This window comes from Homo sapiens, chromosome 4 (assembly GCF_000001405.40).
Source record: "Homo sapiens chromosome 4, GRCh38.p14 Primary Assembly".
Lineage (NCBI taxonomy): Eukaryota > Metazoa > Chordata > Mammalia > Primates > Hominidae > Homo > Homo sapiens.
In genome coordinates this window covers 129,723,943-129,744,406 of record NC_000004.12, presented here as the reverse complement: position 1 = coordinate 129,744,406, position 20,464 = coordinate 129,723,943, and the positions used below count along the sequence as shown (strand labels likewise).

At 34.7% G+C, this 20,464-nt stretch overlaps 1 long non-coding RNA gene across 1 annotated transcript in view; it reads left to right on the top strand.

Annotated features, from left to right (window-relative positions):
• LINC02466 (long intergenic non-protein coding RNA 2466) overlaps window positions 1-20,236 on the top strand; it is a 47,308-nt gene extending 27,072 nt beyond the window's left edge. The window contains exons 3-5 of the long non-coding RNA NR_110753.1: window positions 28-99; window positions 17,374-17,485; window positions 18,618-20,236. This is a non-coding gene — a long non-coding RNA (long intergenic non-protein coding RNA 2466). The remainder of the gene's footprint in view (window positions 1-27; window positions 100-17,373; window positions 17,486-18,617) is intronic.
• Window positions 20,237-20,464: the final 228 nt, after the last annotated feature.

Below are 20,464 nucleotides of genomic sequence, written 5' to 3'. Positions count from 1 at the left end.
CCTTATGATGATTCACTGGCTGTGAAGCTTTTAAAAAATTGTGTGACTGACCAGCAGCAGTGGCTCACATCTGTAATCCCAGCACTTTGGGAGGCCGAGGTAGGTGGATAACGAGGTCAAGAGATTGAGATCATTGTGGCCAACATGATAAAACCCATCTCTACTAAAAATACAAAAATTAGCTGGGCGTGGTGGTGCGCACCTGTAGACCCAGCTACTCAGGAGGCTGAGGCAGGAGAATCGCTTGAACCTAGGAGGTGGAGGCTACAGTAAGCCGAGGTCACGCCACTGCACTCCAACCTGGGCAGCAGAGTGAGACTCTGTCTCAAAAAAAAAAAAGTATGACTTTTATTATAAAATGAAAATTTGAAATGGTATAACTTTGACGGCTAAGTTTTGCTTTCTTCTCACCTATTTGAACAAAATTAACTAATTTCATACAGAAAATGATAATTTTTATCATGTTCAGGTAAAACTCAGTTACCACAGAGGTCATTACACTTTGTTTGTTTTAAATTGGCACATAAACTGTGAAGCCTCCTTGTAACTATTTGCCAAATGTTCATAACAGTTTAGGCGTTGCAACTCAGCATAAATGATTACCAGTTTAATAAATCTAAAACACCCTTCTTCGAAATTTCCATTTGCAATTTTCTTTTGCTGCTGCCTTTATGAAATCATTACATGCTTAGAGATTTTGTTCTAAGAACAAACAAATTCACATTCTACATTCTACCACAGACCTAATCACTGCTTATATTTATTGCTTTATGTTTTATAGTAGTTATGATCATATTTTATCACTATCTTCATGCTTCAGTGAGTGACTTTTAAGCTATTGATCCTTTTCTGTGAATTGGGGATACAATAAAGCAATATCCCAGTTACAATAAAAATGCAAATTTAGAAAATTTAATTAATAAAATTCAATTTATATGAAAATATCTTAGTCAAGACAAATTAGTCCCTGTTAAATGAATGCTAGCCTAGACCAACTGTCCCACACAGTACTTGTAGTCCATTATTAAAAACTTAATAATAATTATGGATGTAATAGAATTTCTGTGAAAATCGTTAATCTCAAATTTTAAATGTATGAAATATATGTGAACCAAAGGTTTCATCTTTTCATATTCATAGAAAATAGTCAAATCCCTGTTGGATAATTGATAGTCTGCCAGAAACTACACTTTTAAGAAAATGATTCCAGACAATGGAGAGCCATTCTGCAGAGGAGAGACATAATTTTCATAAGCAAAAAGTAGTCCACAGCTTATTTAAAAGGCTCAGATGATAAATAATAGGGCATGAATTAGGGCAGAGGAAATGGTTATGCAGAAAGAGGTAATGCAAAGGAAACAGGAAACGATAAGCAGAAATTTAATGCAGAGCCATTTTTTTGGTATAAAAATTTTCAGTCTCCATTTTACACCTATAGCTTTTCTTTACCCGTTCTAATTAAGCATCTATGGCCATCAGCCTTCTGAAACAGGAAAGTACATCATGTCTATGCACCCCAATACAATGATCAGAGATCTGCTCCAATCCACTTCACTAGATTTATTAACAGCATTGGACTCACATGAAACACTATCCTCTTGGTTTTCATGATATGACACTTCCCTCTTCCCTATGCCTAGAACATTCAGCTGAGCCCCCTGATTCAAAGAGTCAACTACTTACTTAGCATTACCATTTTCATTTCTAATAACTATCTATAAAGTGAACTCTTAATTAATACCCATATCCTTTGCTTTCCTAGTTTTCCTCATTTCAGTAAAACTCACCAATGCTGACCCCATGACACAAGTCATTCTTCATCACCTGCCTATCATTAAAGCATGTCAACTCCAGCTCCAAAACATATCCAAAATTCATCTCCAATGTGACCACTCTAAGCCTAGCCACCATCAACTATCAACTAGGCTGCTTCAAAAGCCTCTTAGCTGCTTTGTTAGCTTGTAGTCCATTCTTTACATCAGAAGCCAGAGTTATCTTTTAGAAACATGAAGGAGATCATGCTACCTCTTTACCTAGAACTCTTCTAAACAAGGAATAAAAGATTTTACATGAATTCAGCCAAGTCTACAACTCAACTTCTTTTACTAACATACCCCCAGCTTGCTAGGCTTTTGTCACACTTACTCTCCTTTTGCCCCAACAAGACAAAAAATCTGGTTCCACCTTAGGGGCTTTTCACTTTGTATTCTCTCCCTAGAATACTCTTGCCTCTGATCTTCATAAGCCTGCCTTTTTGGAACCCTTTGGATCTTCGCTATGAAGTCATCTACTTAATGAAATGTTTTCTGATTAACAAAATTATCATGGCAGTAACTCTCAAATATATTTACCCATCTTAATTTCTTCACAGTGACTTTAATTATCCAAAATTAGCTTCATATATATATATAAATAAAATTTATTAGTTCGTTGTCTGTCTTTTTCCTGCTAGAATGAATGCTGCATGAGTCTAGGAACTTTTTGTTATGTGTTATTACACTGCCAGAACCCAGAAGAGCACCCATCAAAAAGAAAACATTTAAATATTTGTGGCATAGATAGTAAGTTAACAAATGGATAATTTGGTAATCAAAACAATATGAAATATAAGGAGTAACAAAGAATTAACAATGACTGAAGCTGAGAGTCTAAATGACTAAGTAAATACTGATGTCATTAATGTGAATACAAAACCCAGATAGAGGATGGAGTTTAGAAGAGACATCTTGAATGGGCCAAACAGCAGGTACCAGAATATCCACATAGTGGTTTTCAGTAGTTTGAGGCTCAGTGGAGAGACTGGGACAAGATACACAGCACTGGATTCATTTGAATGCAGATAATAGTTATAACTGAAGTAGTTGCATTCACTAAAATAAACCATATGGAAGAGAATGACAAGCTCTGAATATCAAAGAATGAAAAACATTAACAATCAGAAAAAAAGGAGAGAAACCTAAGCGTAGAAAAGCAGATTCAAATTCACGTAAGCCATGGATGAGGTGAGGAGACTCTTACATAGGCAGCAAATAATCAACATCGCCAACCATGAAAAGTGTTCAGTAAATGCTGAGTAGGATGGAACTGAGGAATTTGAACTAGACTAATATAGTGATATCCGAAGTCAGTTTGTAAATATGAGGAGTGAGAGCAAGATGAAGTACTAAAGACAGTGAACTACTCTTCCAAAGTATGGCACTAGATGGTAGAAAAACTATGTAATGCCAATTTGAATATCTTTTTTAAGATAAAAGAAACAAACGAGTCAAGAAAAAATGGTCTTAGAAGTGGGAGGATTAAAGATGAAAGTCAGAGGGATGTTAAGATGTAACCGAGAGGGCAGGCAAAATGAGTGTCAGTATCGTGACTGGGGAGTGAGTGAAGCCACACTCTGAAACCAGTAATGGCATTTATCACCTAAACATCATGGAGGTAATGTGGGTAGATAAATAACATGTCTCATGGACTGAAGCTCTATGAAGATCATGTTAAATAAGAACTTTCAGCAGGACAGCATAAGTGTTATCACTAACAAATTGTCCTTGACAGTTTCACTACTTACATAATCATTGTGAATTCTCTTTTGAGTTCTGCTGCAAATACTTGCTCACCCATCCTAAACAGCCTTATTTCCCACATCCTCTTTAATTCAAAAGGAAAAAGTATGGCTAACAAATAGTTACATAAGAAAATATTTTGGAGCACATTTTTAACCTAGTTTTACTTAAATAATAATAGGATGACAGCATGCCCAAGACAGACCCAGTGTAAATATCAATTGCACCTCTTTTTCGCCTTAAGTGTACTCCAATTTTAGATGACAAATATTATGATTTATAGTATCCTAAAAAAATAATATTATAATATGTAATATTTTAACAAGAACTTATGGTATAGCTAAAATACAAGATCACATTTCAACAATACTTAGTGATTCACAACCAAAAACAAAATGAGTAACAGAATTTATCCAAGTTTGTGACTTTTCAGGTTGTCATGGATAAAATAATATCCACATGTAGTGAACAGAATGTGCCAGGGACTGTTCTACACTGTTAATGTGTGTGGTTTCGTTTACTCTTCACACTAAGCCTAAAAGAGAGGTCTTTTATAATTCCCACCAAGCAAGACTGGGAAATTAACTAACCTGACTAAGGTAATAGCAAACGATGGACCTTATAACCAAAAGAAGACAATTTGTGGAATTTTAAGGTATTGGTGAGTGCAGAAGTAAAATGATTGGGATGTAGTTTAGGAGATAAATGAAGCCAGTGGGAGACTCTGTATTAGGATAATCAAAAAAAGACAAGAGTTGAACATAGGGCAAAACATACGTTCAATAGAAATAAGAGGCTAACTGAGCAGGCAGTTAAAAGGCTGTGGTCAAAGAGGGATTTGAAAATTTGAGGCCATGTCCATAAAACCACATTAAATTTTGACAGACCTGAGGAATAACCAAGCTTGTGAGTGCCTGGACCACATTGGTAAAGCAGAGGAAAGTTTTGGAAATTAATGAAGTCAAGAAATTATAAACCAGGAAGTTAATCTGGAAAATATTGATTCCTAAAAATAATACAGAAGTATTAACATATCACAGAGAGAAGTAGAAAAGAAGAAATGATGCTTTTATGAAACAAACTTTAGGCAAATCTTTATTTCCATATTTCTTTTTAAACACACACATACATGTGCACACACATACAGGCACTTAGTCATATTAAAATTTTTTGAATCTAACAACAGGTATTAAAGAGAAAAATTTAGAAATGTAAAACTGGATGTTTAGCAAATGCATCTTTTCTTGATGATACTACATAAATATTAATATGCTAAGAATAACTTTGTCTAATTACCAATTAGAATGTTTTGAATATAGTTTGAACTTATCAATACAAAAATAGATTAACATTTCCATTAGTTCAAAACTAATTTCCCATAATGGTCAATGTACTCTGGTGTATAAAATCTATATGATCTCTCAAATAAAAGATTCAGTCGCCACTGACCTAATTTTGTAAGGAGAGAGAATTTGCTTTGCTTTTATTCAAAAACTGTTTATTTCTTTCAGATGTCCCTTGATAGAAACAGATTTCATAACTTAAAAAGGAAACTCATTTAATCAACTGATATTGTTCATCCCTTTGTTTGTTCCAATAATTGCTACATTTTTAACACCAAAGGAAAAATTACTGAGCTTGTCCTTAAAAGACTTTCTTTTTCTCATATTAAAACAGGAAAGATTATACTTATGCATAAGTTGAAATAGTGATAAACTCCTGCCACCATTATACAGCAGCCTCATGAAGAAGCAGCACTTGTGGTACTTAGACAGTTTAGAAAAGTAAATTTATCAATGTTCATTTCACCCCCCTCAAAAACAAACAAGCAACACCATTATTTGTTAATAGTAAAGGGCTGTTGAGGAATAAATTTCATTGGATATGAACTCATTTTTCCAGCTCTTCCCATTAGAGTCATCAATTTGGATCAATTTTTAGTAGAATATACTAAACTTTAGTACAATAGGCTAAACTGACTTGCACTGTTTAGCCTATCAAAATTAATTCCTTTTGCATTTAAAATTTTAAAGGCTATTTAGTTGTGTTTCAGAAATCAAAGAACTTAACTTTTACAATTTAGATTTATTGATTAAAAACTAAAGTTGGTTAAGAAGAATCTGAAAATAAACAGAAAATTCTGAAAGTTTAGTGTTAAGATTCAGTAAATGTCATTGAATAACCTTATGCATTCCTAACCCTTCTGTCCTTAAGTGTCTCTACTTCTACTAGTGGAAAAATTTCCTTATTTGCATTGCCTTTTTTTTTTTTTGGTTCTAGACAGCAAAACTCTCTAGAAACTGTCAGTTTCCTATAGTTTGGGGGACACCCTGAAATACTATAGACATTTTTTTTTAACCTCACTTGAAGTTTCAAGATTGCTTTTTGGAAAATTCCAAAATACCTATCACATTTCATATTGAAAGCTATTTACAAAATGGTAGTGCATTTTCCCAGCATCCTTCAGAGGTCACTAAACGCATTTTCATTTTCACTTTTAAACTGTGTCTACATTATGACAAGGCAATCCAATGAAAAGTGAAAAACACACTCAAAAGAATGTTTTCTTTAAACCATAGCAAACACTTTCATTAGAGGGTTTTTCTATCCACCTTTAGTTTTGAAAATATTTATTTCTGGAAATATTAAGCCCTCTTAATCTTTAAGTGATTAATTTTAAGAGTACATTTAAAAACACAGCAAAAACTTAATTTGCAGAATCTTCTATTTTATTCATTTCAAAGTATCTTTCCATAGCACCAGTCAATGTCCAAGTCCAATTCTAACTCCAATGGGAAACCTTCAAAATATAGACTAAATCAGTCCCTTTAACAATAAATATCATTTTCATTATTCTTCATTCTGCTTGCATTTATATCTCTTTCCACTAGCATAAGCTTAAGTATCCCAATGCATGCATTAATATAGAATCAGTCTGAAAAACTATTTTTCTGAGAGTGTTGAAATATTTTAAGGTTATAAACAATACATTCTTAATTATCCATACATCAAATATTCCAGTGTATTAAAGAGTTTTATCTACCACCTACATGAACAGATGCTTTCATCGTTGTATTAAATTGTGCCTTTCTTAGTGACTATAACCAGTCCAGGGTAAGATTATCTCTGTTCTTTGGAAGCACAATATTACAGTAGTTCAGCATATAAACTTTAGTCCCAGGTTGCCCAGGTGAGTCTAGAATCTGACAATCAATATCTATGTGTCCTTGGGTAGGTTATATAACCTCTATTCTTTTCTGTATCTTCATTTATTGGAGATAGTAATAGAACATACCCTGTCAGGTTAGTTTGAGGATTAAAGGAGATAATGTACACATTTTTCTTATTAGGAACCAGAGTTTCCAACACAAAATCGGAGCTCAGGCTTAATAAATCTTATCTGGTTGTGTGTAAATACAAAGATATTCAAACCTGGTTCACACTTGAGAACAGGTTGTATTCAAAAGTGGCTTCATATCTGAGTTCACTCTAATTCTCTTTAAATGAGAGATCCACAATAGTTTGATAATAAGCTTTGTTAATTAAAATGGGCTCAACATTAGAAAATCTATTTAGTAGAAAGTAGAAGTATAAACTGTTTCTGTACATTCTCTCTGTCATTTAAAACCTCAGTACAAATCCATTCCTTGAATGTTACGTAGACAACGTCTTGATAAGTGTCGTATACACCGTTTGGGTTGCTATAACAAAATACCATTGGCTGGTGGCTTAAGCAACAAATATTTAATCCTCAGAGTACTGGAAGCTGAGAAGTCCAAAATCAAAGTATGGGTAGATTCAGTGTCTGGTTAGGGCCACTTCCTGGTTCATACACAGACAACTCCTCATTGTATATTCACATGGCAGAAACCAGAGAGACACAAATTATCTATGTACTTTCATAAAGGCACTAATTTCATTAATAAGGGTTCTGCTCTCATGACTTAATCTCATCTAATCCTAACTACCTTCCAAAGGCCCCACCCCTAAATACCATCATATTGAGGGATAGGGTTTCAGCTTACAAATGGGGGGAGCACAAACATTCAGTCCACAACAATAGGTCCACAGAGTTACTTTTGCATTTTAGCTTATTAATCTCAACCACTTCAAATATTAACAATTTCAACCATTCTGTATGCTATGAAATCAGAATCTCAATCTAAAGAAGCTTCCTCATTCAATATCAAGTTGTAAAAAACAATTATTTCAGTAGGGGAGGTTAAATGAGACAGAATCAGGTCAACACAACAGCAATGTTAACCTTTTATCAGTTTTAGAGATAGAGTTGAGGTTGTTTTATACTATTTTTATAGATATAAATGCATGTTTATAAAATGTACACATCACTGAAAATATCCAACAATTTTATATCCAACATTTGCTTGAAAGCACACTTTTTATTATATATTCTTATCAATATACTAGTACAATGTACATAAAGAATGAAGGCACACACAGTTTTCTTCCCATTACTCCTACCTAGTTCTGAATGCTATAGAATGACATCCATTTGCTCCCAACCAATAGTACAAGTTGTGTTCACTAAATATATTGATTTACTTCATTATAGTAGGCAGAATTCTAAGATGACCTATTGTTACACCCTGAATAATTATCTCTTCATGAATATATGTAGGACCTGTTACTTGCTTCTAACTAATAGCATATGAAATAGGCCTGATGATTAGGTTATGATATATTTATAAGACTCTACCTTGCTAGCACACAAGAGTGACCCTCCTGCTAGCCTTGAAGAGGTAAACTGCTATATGAACTGCCCATGGAGAGGGCCAAGTGGCAAGAGAGTGCAGGCCTGAGAACAGCCTTCAGCAAAAGCCAGAAAGAAACCAGGTTTCTCAGTCACATAACTATAAGGAACTGAATTCTGCCAACAACAGAAATGAGCTTGGAAATAGATTTTTCCAAGTCAAGACTTCAGATGAGCACACAGCCCTGACCAACAACTTTTCATAGCTTTGTGAGAGCCTGAATATAGAACTCAGGTAAGCCATGCCCAGAATTGTGTACTACAGAAACTTTGTGAATAAGTGTATATTGTTTTAAGCCACTAATTTTGTGGTAATTCATTAACAGCAACAGAAAATTAATAAATTCATTGTTCTAACTCACAGTTTGAAAAATCAGGAAATAACAAGAGGGAGTCATCATTTTTACAATTGCCCCAAACGTCCATAGTTGCTTTCCTCTCAAGTCTGGCTAGATTTCTATCAAATCTGGTAGTTTATAATCTCCTTTCTTTATCTCCAGATATCCTTTGGTAAGAGTGTGCACAGTGACTTTTTAAAAAGAAAACAATGTATTATTCTATGTCCCAATTTTCTGCTACCAATCATTTTGCCCATCTCACTGAGCTGTACTAAATTTTACATATAGCAGTTGGGGAGTAATTTAAATAACTCAAAATATTTTAAATAAGAAGGAGATTGATTATGTCAAATGACAGTAAGCTTATCAGTAGAAAAGCCTTTAGGCCCTGAAAACTAAAACTCCAGCTCAGCTTCTCTGTAATTCTTATAACAATTTCTTTTATCAGTTGGTTTTATCCTACAGCAGATTCAGGAACCACATCTAGACACGACATGTTTGGCATTCAAAGAGGCATTGTTCTTTTCATTTTTTCTCCTTTCTATCTCTCCAAAAAATAACTTCCTCAGAAAGCCCCCAGCAGACTTATTCATGTCTCATTGGCCAGAATTAAGTATTGGTCACATCTCTCTCTTAAAATGATCATTGATTGACAAGGCTTAACCAAATCCTTACCCAGAGATAGGGTTGCCTTCCCTGAAGATTAGATAATGTGATCAAAATAGAATTTCATCAGTGGGAACATAGAAATAAGAAAGTAGCTTAGGGAGAGATACTTGAAGAAGTTATACCTGTGTGGATATTAAAGGTCAAGTAAGCAACAGTCTGGCAAAAATTGGCAGGAGAAACTGAAAGTAAAGTTAGGTGCATGAAAGATGATCAGGCCCAGATTAGGATAACTGAGTTTGGATGAAGGGAGTATGAGGAAAGGGAAATGATTTGTGAAGTATTTTGGTGGTAAAATTAGGAAGTTTGAAAAATCTATTATAAAATATTCAACTCCCCCAAACACTGCACAAACCAACTTTCTGCAACCGGTTCACTTACAAAATTTAATTACTTCCAAAGATAATCTGTGAAATCTCAGAAATACACATTATTCATGTTAAAGGTCACAAATGAGTTAATTTCTTCTAACTGATCTGAATATTTCAGACTTGAGAGCAACTAAAAAGTGACCAGTACACTAATTCAAATACCAGAGATAATTGATTCAAAATACAAGAGTCACTTAAGCATGAACAGCCTTCATTTCAAGATAGAAAACCAAAAGCAGCAACTATTAAAGCAAATTGTCCTCTTACAAAAGACCCCTTATATAATTTTAAGTTATCTATTCCTTTAGAAAAAAATCTTCAACTGGCACTGGAAAAAGATTCATGTCATTTAAATATCTAGCATAAGGCTTTAAACTGTTGTGCATGTGAATAATTTTGTAAAGTTCAAAATAATTATATATGACTCCCCATAATTAAAATAAAATAGTTAAATTTAAAAAAGACAATTAAAGCTGGAGTAAAATGATCTGTGTTAAAATCGTAAAATCATCATTGCTCTAATTATTAGCACAACCCATTTTTAATCTATGACATTTACAAAGCAAGAGATTTTACTTATCTAGTCTTATTAGCATAATAATCATTGCACTTTACATGGCTTTAACAATAAATTCTTTCCTTATATTTAAGTTTTGCCCAGACAAACAGATTAAATACGTATTGAACTGAAAGGTTAAAGCCCGTTCATTAATTCTGTTATTGTTTTTCATAAGCCAAATTCTTCATTTGGGTACCTCTTGACTTTGTAGCATTGATTCTAATCATTTTCTAGTAATGAGCCCCAGCCTGACATGAGATAATGCCTTTGGGCAATTTTACTTGTAAGAAACCTCAACCCTTAACCCCTTTCGTTTCCTTTGCGTAATCACTTGCATAGATCTTCCTACATTTGGGATTTGTGTGTGTGTGTGTGTGCGCGTTTGCATTGAATTTCAATTTTATTATATTGAAACTAATTCCTTCTTGATTTTCTTTTGCTCAACATTTTATTTTGTGTCTCCATTCCTATGCCTGCTGCCCTTGAGGTTTTTTCCCAGTGATTGGCCTTCTTTTTTTTTTTTTTTAGACAGAGTCTCGCTCTGTCGCCCAGGCTGGAGTGCAGTGGCGCTACCACGGCTCACTGCAAGCTCCTCCTCCCGGGTTCACACCATTCTCCTGCCTCAGCCTCCCAAGTAGCTGGGACTACAGGGGCCTGCCACCACGCCCTGCTAATTTTTTGTATTAGTAGAGACGGGGTTTCACCGTGTGAGCCAGGATGGTGTCGATCTTCTTGTGATCCGCCCGCCTCGGCCTCCCCAAAGTGCTGGGATTACAAGCGTGAGCCACCGCGCCTGGCTCCCAGTGACTGGCCTTCTTGCCTGCGCTTGTTTGGTCCCTACTTAGAAGAGACACTTAATGATTTTGATGGACTTCCTGATGTGCATGAGCAAACGACTATTCTATTCTTTTTTTTTTTTTACACCATTGTATTCATGATTTGGTATAACCATGGCACTAAAATACAACTGGGAAAGGAGTATGAACCCTTTCTTTTACTGTACACATTCTGTATATTAGGGGTCCCCAACGGACCTGGGCCTTACAGCAGGCGGGGAGTGATGGGTGAGCAAGCAAAGCTTCATCTGTGTTTACAGCTGCTGCCCATCACTGGCATTATTGCCTGAGCTCTGCCTTTTGTCAGATCACATGAGGCATGAGATTCTCATAGAAGAGGGAACCCTTTTGTGAACTGTGCATGCAAGGGATCTAGGTTGTTGCTCCTTATGAGAATCTAATGCCTGATAAACTGTTACTGTCTCCCATCACTCCCAGATGGGACCGTCTAGTTGCAGAAAAACAAGCTCAGTGCTCCCACTGATTCTACATTATGGCAAGTTGTATAATTATTTCATTATATATTACAATGTAATAATAACAGAAATAAAGTGCACAATAAATGTAATGTGCTTGAATCATCCCAAAACTATTCCCCACCACGGCCCCAGCCTCGTCCATTGAAAAATCGTCTTCCACAAAACCGGTCGCTGGAGCCATTGGGGATCACGGCTCTACATTATATTTTCAATTATTATACACAATTTCACTGAAAGAGCTATTACAATGCAATGTAAGGATTCTCCGACTGCACATTATATGGGGATTGGTGCCACATAGTCATCAGTCTCCCTTGAATGTGCACTGGGCTTCTTTTCTTAGAGTCACCCTACTTCAAGTTCATTCTTTCTGTAACTATTCTTTAAAAAACAGAATCCTTCTCATTGGTTCTACCTGTTTTCCCAAGAATTGATTTTTCCCCCAAGAATTAATTTTCTTCATCTCAAACAAAGAATATATAATACTTATCTCTTCCAAACTAAATTCAATTTGATTTGTTACTCCTTTCTTCAGTGATGATTTTAGTAACACAGCACTCTCTTCAGACTTCTTTGAGACTTTCCTTTCCTTCAGACTGGGTTCATTTCCTCAGACCTAGAGTCACATGATTCCAACTGGTTTCATTGCCCATTGATTTTTCTGCTGTTGGTCCAGTATTAATCACATCAACCTTATCACTATCCATATTTGCTCCACACATAGTTTCAAAAAAATATATATATCTATGTATATATATATATATATATATATATATATCTACAATGAGCTGAAACTCTGTGTATTTTAATGTCTGTTTAGAAAACAATGTTAAGTGGTCATATTTTAATATTAACCTAAATTCTATTTGAAATTCTTCATTGATTTTCCATTGAATTTAGAATAAAATGGAAACTTCATCATGGCCTACAGGCCCTGTGACACTTGGCCTCTATTTTCCATCTCCTTTATTTCTTAACACTGATCCTTCCCCCTGTAATGCAGCCTGGAAAGGTCTTATAAGTCATTTAGTGTCTCTCTGCCTCCCCTAGGGTGTTTTCCTCAGATGTTTGCTCATCTCTTTCTGATGTACTTATCTCTTTCAGCTTAAATATCACCTCCCTAGAGAACTTTTCTTGACCACCCTATCTAAAAGACAACCACATGTATTGCCTAACACATCACCCTTGTATTTGCCTTGCATAATTTATAATTGCTTTGCATATTTGTTTGCTTATTTACTGTCATAGAATGGAATGTAAGCTGCCTGAAAGTAGAGACTACCATTGCTTTTTTCACTACTGTATTATTGGCATTTGGCATAACAGCTGGTCTACAGCAGAAACTTATTAAATGTATCCTAAATAAATGGACAAACAGATGCATGTGTATAAACCATGTCAATGCAAAGAATTCACTTCTATTTGCAAGCTGATGTATGTTAAATCTCATTCCCCCAAAATAAGTAATATAGAATTCTTGAAGAAGTAAAAATTTTTCAAAATATGCTTGGAATTAGTAGATATTTCATCCAACTGACAACTTTAAATGGCTTATGTTTCATAGGCTAAAATTTCTAAATTTCCAAATATTCCAAAATATTGCACTTCTTCTTTTCAATGTTTCTTTTAGGCCTAGATTAAATGGAGGGATTAGAAATCAAAGTACCTTGTATTTCCAGGCAATTGAATAAGGCAGTTTTATAGACTGTAAACTCCTTCATGAGACTATGAGCTCCTTGAGGGCATGTCTAACCAAATCTCTGAAACACTATTAATGCCTATAAAATGTTCCCTTGTGAATTCACAGCAACAGTTTACAAATGGTGATGATAAATAGTTTTACAAATTCACTTTGTGGTCTAAACTATTTACAAATGTTAGAATTTACAAAATAATGGTGGATTTTTAATTTTTCAGACTCAAAAAAATGAAATCCATATTAAACACACATTTGCTCAGCATTTCAGGAATATTAAGTGCTGAGGCACTGTCACGTACGTGCTCCACAAGGCATAGTCATGCTGTTGGCTCAGAGGAAACATCTTAAAGCAGCAATGTGTAATGCATTAAATGGCCTGATTATGTCTTAAGGGAAGACTCACCTATAGATTTCACTTAATGGTTAGAAATGATTCAGGAAACCTGAGGAAATTGCCTACAAAGAGGCAAATATAACGAGAGACTCTGGGCATCTTTCATATGATATGAGGAGTATTAAATGAGGAAAAAAGAAAAACCTAACACTTAAGAGCAGGTACTGGGTAATGTTTTACATATCTTTGTTAGAGTAAATATCTTGGAAGCTTAATTTAGAATCAATACACTCTTTGGACTTTGATTTAGAAAGATTCAGAAATGTCAAACCCCTTTCCCATATAACTTTTATAAAGTTATATAAAAGTTTACATTAAACCTTTAAGTTAGTATTCTGTACATTTTGTCTTAAGTGACATTTTGGTGAATTTTCAAGAGGTAGACATTGGGAGACTATTCCCTGAGGTATTAATGGAAGAATGCTCCTTGAGAGTTGAAGTCCCATGATATTTGAATAGAAGACATCTCTCAAAGTAATTTTTATTAAAACAGGCTGAGAAACGCATACCCAATCATACTTAGGCAACAATGCCCTAATAAAATCAGAAACTTTTATCCAGAATGGTTTGTCAGGTGCAAAAGGCAGATCAGAGTACTAAAAGCCATCATGAAATAGCCTGGAAAAGTCCTATAAAGGAGGACTACAGCCCTCAGATGAATGTATCATCCATCTAAGGGGAAAAAGGGGAACATTGATTCATCAGTCTCTTTTCCTCATTGGTCAGTTATTCATCCCCAAAAGTGTTAATGCCTCTGAAGTTGCAAGTTTCACAAGTGCAGAGACTGAGAGGCACAAATCTAAGACTAGGTCAAACCTGCATGAACCTGTTGGAGCCCACACAGAACTGGTCACTGCAATGGTGTCTTATGTATCGTTATCTATCCATATAAGAGATAGATGAGGCCAAGAGGACCTGCAGCAGTAAAAAAAACGGTAACCAATACACGTCCCAAGCAAACTATGGATTTTATCAGCTTGGATTATGAAAAGATTTCCCTCTATATATGTATTTATGTACACATGTGTGTGTCTGTATGCACTAACGATGCTACACTATGAAAAACATTGCTTTTTCTTGTAACTTTGGTAAGAACATTATGCTAGTCAACTTTTTCAATCAAGAAATAAGAGTACTTCTCACAGGTGGACACAATTTCAATGACAGCCAAATGCCATCCAATTCAACCCTCCCCTACCACACACGCATACATACATATACACACAAGAGAGCTGTCAGTTGAAATCAAACATTATGGATTTCATTCTGAAATGAATATGTATTGCTATAGAGTGTTTTATTTGCATAGTCTCATTCTTCCACACTTTCAATCTAAAAACAATAAGGACCTTGAGGATTTACAGTAACAATAAAAAATTACTCCACATTTTAATGGAAACTTAAGATTACATGTCTTAGACCAATGGAGCTGCTGTAACAAAATACCATAAAGTGGGTAGTTTATAAAGAACAAAAATTTATTTCTCACAAATTTGGAGAATGAGAAGTCCAATATCAAGGCACTAGCAGGTTCTGTGCTTGGTAACGGTCTGCTTTCTGGTTTGTAGATGGCAACTGCTCAATGTGCACTCACATGGAGGAAGAGGCAAGGCAGCTCTCTGGGGCCTCTTTTCATAAGGGCACCAATCCCATTAATGAAGGCTGTGCACTCATGATCTAATCACCTTTAAAAGGCCCTACCTCCTAATACTAGCACATTTGTGATTAGATTTCAACATACGAACCGGGGGGTGGGGCACAAACGTTCAGACCATAGCATTACAATTACATATACATGTTGTTTTCCCTGTTTTTCATTGTTCCCACAAGTACCAAGATGCTCCTCTGATTATTGTTATCAAAGCCAAATATGCATATGCATGGTATTTTGTGTTCTCTGAAAAGCTTGGGAAATATGCATATATGTTTATAAGTAAATGTGATGCAAATCTTCGTCAACTTTTTCTAAATAGACATTTGATCACGAGTTTAAAATCTGAATTAGCAGAATTTTTTTTTGGCATGAGCAGACAAAAGCTGCTTTAGGGAGATGTTTTAAAGAATTGGGGAAAATATCCTAAACACAAATAAGTGAAAGATGGATAAAATTATATGGAATTTCTGCTAACAATTCTGTGGCAACAAATCTGAAATCTAAAAGAAAGAAAAATTGTCTGGCAAGATCTAAATTGACAAAATTGACACTTCACAAAGTGAAAACCATGACTTTTCAAAAGCAATTAAACATACGCTATTAGAATAAGTAAGGGAGCCCAGTGGACTCATAGATGAGTTTAATCTAATTTCTAAAGAGCAGATACTTCCAAACTTACTCAAAATATTTCAGACCATGTAAAAAGATAGAAATGTTCACAGATTTTTATAAGGCCAGCATAACAATAATTCCAAAATATGTTAGATAGTTACAAAAGAAATCTGCGAGACTTATTTCATCATTGACTATTAATGAAAATTTTTAAATTATCTATTAGAAAATAGACTCCAATAATGCATGGAAAGAATTATATATTATGACAATTAGGGTTTACTACAGGAATGTAAAGGTGTTTTAATGTTAGAAAAAAAATCTATCAACATACTTCATTGTATCAACACATTAAAGGAGAAAATCCTTATTACAAATCAATTGACACTGAATATTCATTTGATACATTTTAGCAGGTATGTCTAATTAAAATTCCATGTACAATAGGAATGAAAAAACTTAATACAATTACCTATTTATCAAATATAACAGCAAAAATGCTCAATGTTAAAACACTTAGATACCTGTACTAATACAATTATCTATCTATGAAACATAATAGCAAATAGCAAATGTGCTAAATGTTAAAACACTTAGATAATTTCAATTAAAATCCAAAACAACATGGGGTGCTTGTTCCTGCAATTATTTGGTGTTGTCTCAAAAAGAATATATAAAGCTATCACATTTTGCTAATGAAATAATTATATGTCTTGTTTAGCTCAGAAGCTCTAATTTTTAATAACATATATGAATATGTGTGTATGTATTCATATATACACATATATGTATGTGTGTGTATGTGTGTATGCATGTGTATTCAGCAGCTTTCACTTATTCTTGCAAAAAGCACCTACATATAAAAATGAGAGAAGATATCTTATTCATGATAGCAGCACAATTTCAATCACCGTAATAGGAAGAAAAACTAGAAAATACCTAGGAATAAGGTAAGGAAGAAGGCAGAGAGAACCAGTAAAAAGAAAGCTATGAAATATTATTAAAAGAAATTAAATATGAAATCTATCTGAAAAAAGAAATACAAAAACCTGATGTCAGAAGGTATACGTCTCTCTAAAATATGTGTATTAAATACAAATTTAATGTAACATACTATAATTATTTATAGATTTGTATAAAATATTCTTAAAGCATAAATGAAAAAATAACTTCTGGATAAAAGCATGGAAAAGAATAGTGATGGTACCAGATATCAGAACATAACCCAAAGCCATTGGTGATGAGCAGAATAATGGCCTCCAAAGATTATCTACACACTAATCCACAGAGCCTGTGAATATGTTGCACTACATGGCTAAAGGGGCTTTGGAGGTGTGATTAATGTTAAGGACCTCTAGATGGAGAAATTAGTCTGGATTACCCAGGTACGTCCAATCTAATTATTCAAGTTCTTAAAAGCATTCTTTCCTGCTGCAGAAAATAAAAGAGACATCAGTGTGTGAATGACGACTTTCTGTTGCTGACTTGGAAGACAGAGGAATTGGGTCATGAGCCGAGGAAGGTGGGCAGCTTCTAAAAGGCGGAAAAGGTGAGTAAACTGATTTTCCCCTAGAACCTCCAGAAATGGAGACAACTTTGCCAAGACCTTGATTTTACCCCAATGAGACCCATGTCAGACTTTTGTGCTATAAAACTGTGAAATAATACATTTGTGCTGTTTAATTGCCAAGTTTGTGGTAAATTATTACAGCAGCAATAAAACACTAACAAACCATTACAATAAACTAGATGTGTTATTGGAGAAGAAATAGAAAGCAGGTCAGTGAAACATAAGATAATTTAGAAATAGATCCCCATTTATATAAACATTGAGTGTTTGTCAAGGTGGCCATTCTATTCAATGCAGAAGGGGAAATGGGAAATAGGTTATTAATTGAGGTGATACAAGTTCTATCTGGAAGAAAATAAAACAGAATCCTTATCTTGGACAATGAATAAGGAATAACTCCTCATGGATTTTAGCTTTTGTGGAAAAAGTGAGTAAAATCTTAAGAACTAGGAGATGACAGGTGTATCATATATTACAAATTCATAGTAGGGCATTGACACGGTTGTGGGGAGAGACAATATAGGTGAAAGGCAAACAGAGGAGGAAGCCAACTGACAAAAAAAAAGACATCTAAAGAGTACGTATGATATAATATCATATAGATGTACAATTGTATATGATTATATATAAATGTTAATGTAACAAAAACAATTATTTGCACATGAGTCTCTTTCATGTCATTTTCGTGCCTTTCAATTTTTGTAATCTTTAGTGATAAATGAATAATATTTGAACATTTATATAAATTACTGTGAATTACTAACATACTCATATTGCATAGAACACATAGTATAGAGAAAGATGCTTTTAGATACCAAGTTCTTAACTTTTTCAACATGTCCACAAGTTGTTCAGTATTATTAGATGTTCATTCAAACTCTCACTTGCCTGGAGTATCTCTGATCCCTATTTTATCATCCCTCATCTGTTCTGTGCTGACAGCTCTCCAGTTGAATTTTTCTTCTCCTTGCAGTCAAATTTTAACAATCTAGTTATCTTTTTCTCTCTTTATTATTCATCTGTCTTAAACCAAATGAGAGTTTCTTTTTTTTTTCCGGTGGGACTTACTCTCCACACTTTTTAAAAATGAAAGTAAATTTCTTTATTACAGAACTGAATTGAATTCAAATCAAAAAAGGTCTGAACCTCATTTAAAAGATGGTTTTGTAACTGAAGAATTGAAAGGATTTCTTTATGAACTAGCATCATCTTAAGACAAAGGATAAGGACCCTGAAGACAGCATTATAGTGAATCCCAGAGGTGCTCTCCAAAATGGTGCTAATACAGCCAAGAATACAGGTATGAGGAAGGATGTGGAAGGGTACCTTACAGGAGAAAGCACCACTTATCCACCAAGATGGCAGAGGCCTTCTTTTCTGACCCGTGGTACAAAAAGAAAACATTATAAGGAGAGACAATAGGCAAAAAAGAGCACACGAGAAGAAACATAGAATGAAAGAAAAGAGAGGGTCAAAGAGAAGAAAAATAAGATCACATGAAGGTGATAATACAATTTTATATAGAACACGGCAATTTGCAATCCACAAGCTGATCTAATATTTAATGTTTAAGAAATCCAGGCTGTGTAAATAAATTTTGGAAATGAGAACTCTCCAAGAGCAGACTCAAGGTGATCTGGGCTGGATCTTACTCCTTCCATGTCTCAGGTGGCCCCAGGAGGACAACATTGTCAAATAAAGTTTAGCCTAAAGCTGACTCCTTACTTATTTTAAGTTCAGCCTAAAGATTTATCTGTACATCATGAACTATAGCCTAAACGGAAGTATAAACAGGCTACAATCTACTCTTGTGCCAATCACTGAGTTTTGGCCAATCGATTGCGGTCAACAGTTCAAATCATGTTTGAATAAGACAAATGCCGAGCTGTTACCAATCTGGCTGTTTCTGTACCTCACTTCTGTTTTGTGTATGTCACTTTATTTTTTCTGTCCATAAATCCTCTTCCACCACGCAGCTGCGCTGCAGTCTCTGAGCCTACTCTGGCTCTGGAGGCGGCCCGATAGGCGAATTGTTCTTTGCTCAATTAAATTCTTAAATGTAATACGGCTGAAGTTTTTCCTTTAACAGTATACAACTGTGAAGTGGTTTTATCAGGCATCATAGGTGGAGAAATAGTAGACCAGAAGTGCAAGAGGCATATGCAACACCATTCCCTGCTGTACCAGTATTATCCAGTGACACCTTATCTGGTTATTAACCAAAGCTGCTTTGGCATAATTCCAGTGGCTGAAGTGAGAGGAAGCGAGGATATGGCTGACATTCTCCAAGAAGCAGTGACTTCAGAAGATGACTGGCATCTTGAACTTCAGGAAAATGCTTGGCCTTTTTAACTCTGAAAGTCTGTTTGAAACTCAGAAGAAGAAAATTAGGTGAATACAAAACTGCTGCCAAACTTAGAAACTTGGTTAAATATCCTGCAGAAAATATCATGGGCTTTTCAGAGTCCAGTTAAATATCTACAGATTATATTTCCAGTTTCATACCTGGGGCATTAACTCTATTCATTTTACTAGCTTTAGTGAATTTTACTTCTGGAGCATAACATTGCATTGAAAATGTGTCCTCTAACCTATGATATTTATGTATCGTTTAATATGAAATTTATGAGGTTCCATTTCTGATTTCCAAATGGATGCAAATTAGAACACAGGATATTTACATTCTTTCATTTCTAACCCACATACATAAAGTTTGACTTTAAAATGCCACTGTTCGTGTCTGTTTCATAGAAGCTCTAGGTATTTATACGTCCATTGTGTCTCTGGCACACTCTGAATTCCAGTTTTTAATCTAATATTGGGCAGGAATTGGCTATAAAAATACAATGCCATTGAGGACAGAGCTGGATTGCTTTTTTTCTGTTAATTCTTGAGAACTTTATAGTTTCTCAGGGAAGTATAATTTGTAACCACATCATCATCTAACACTTTTCCTGT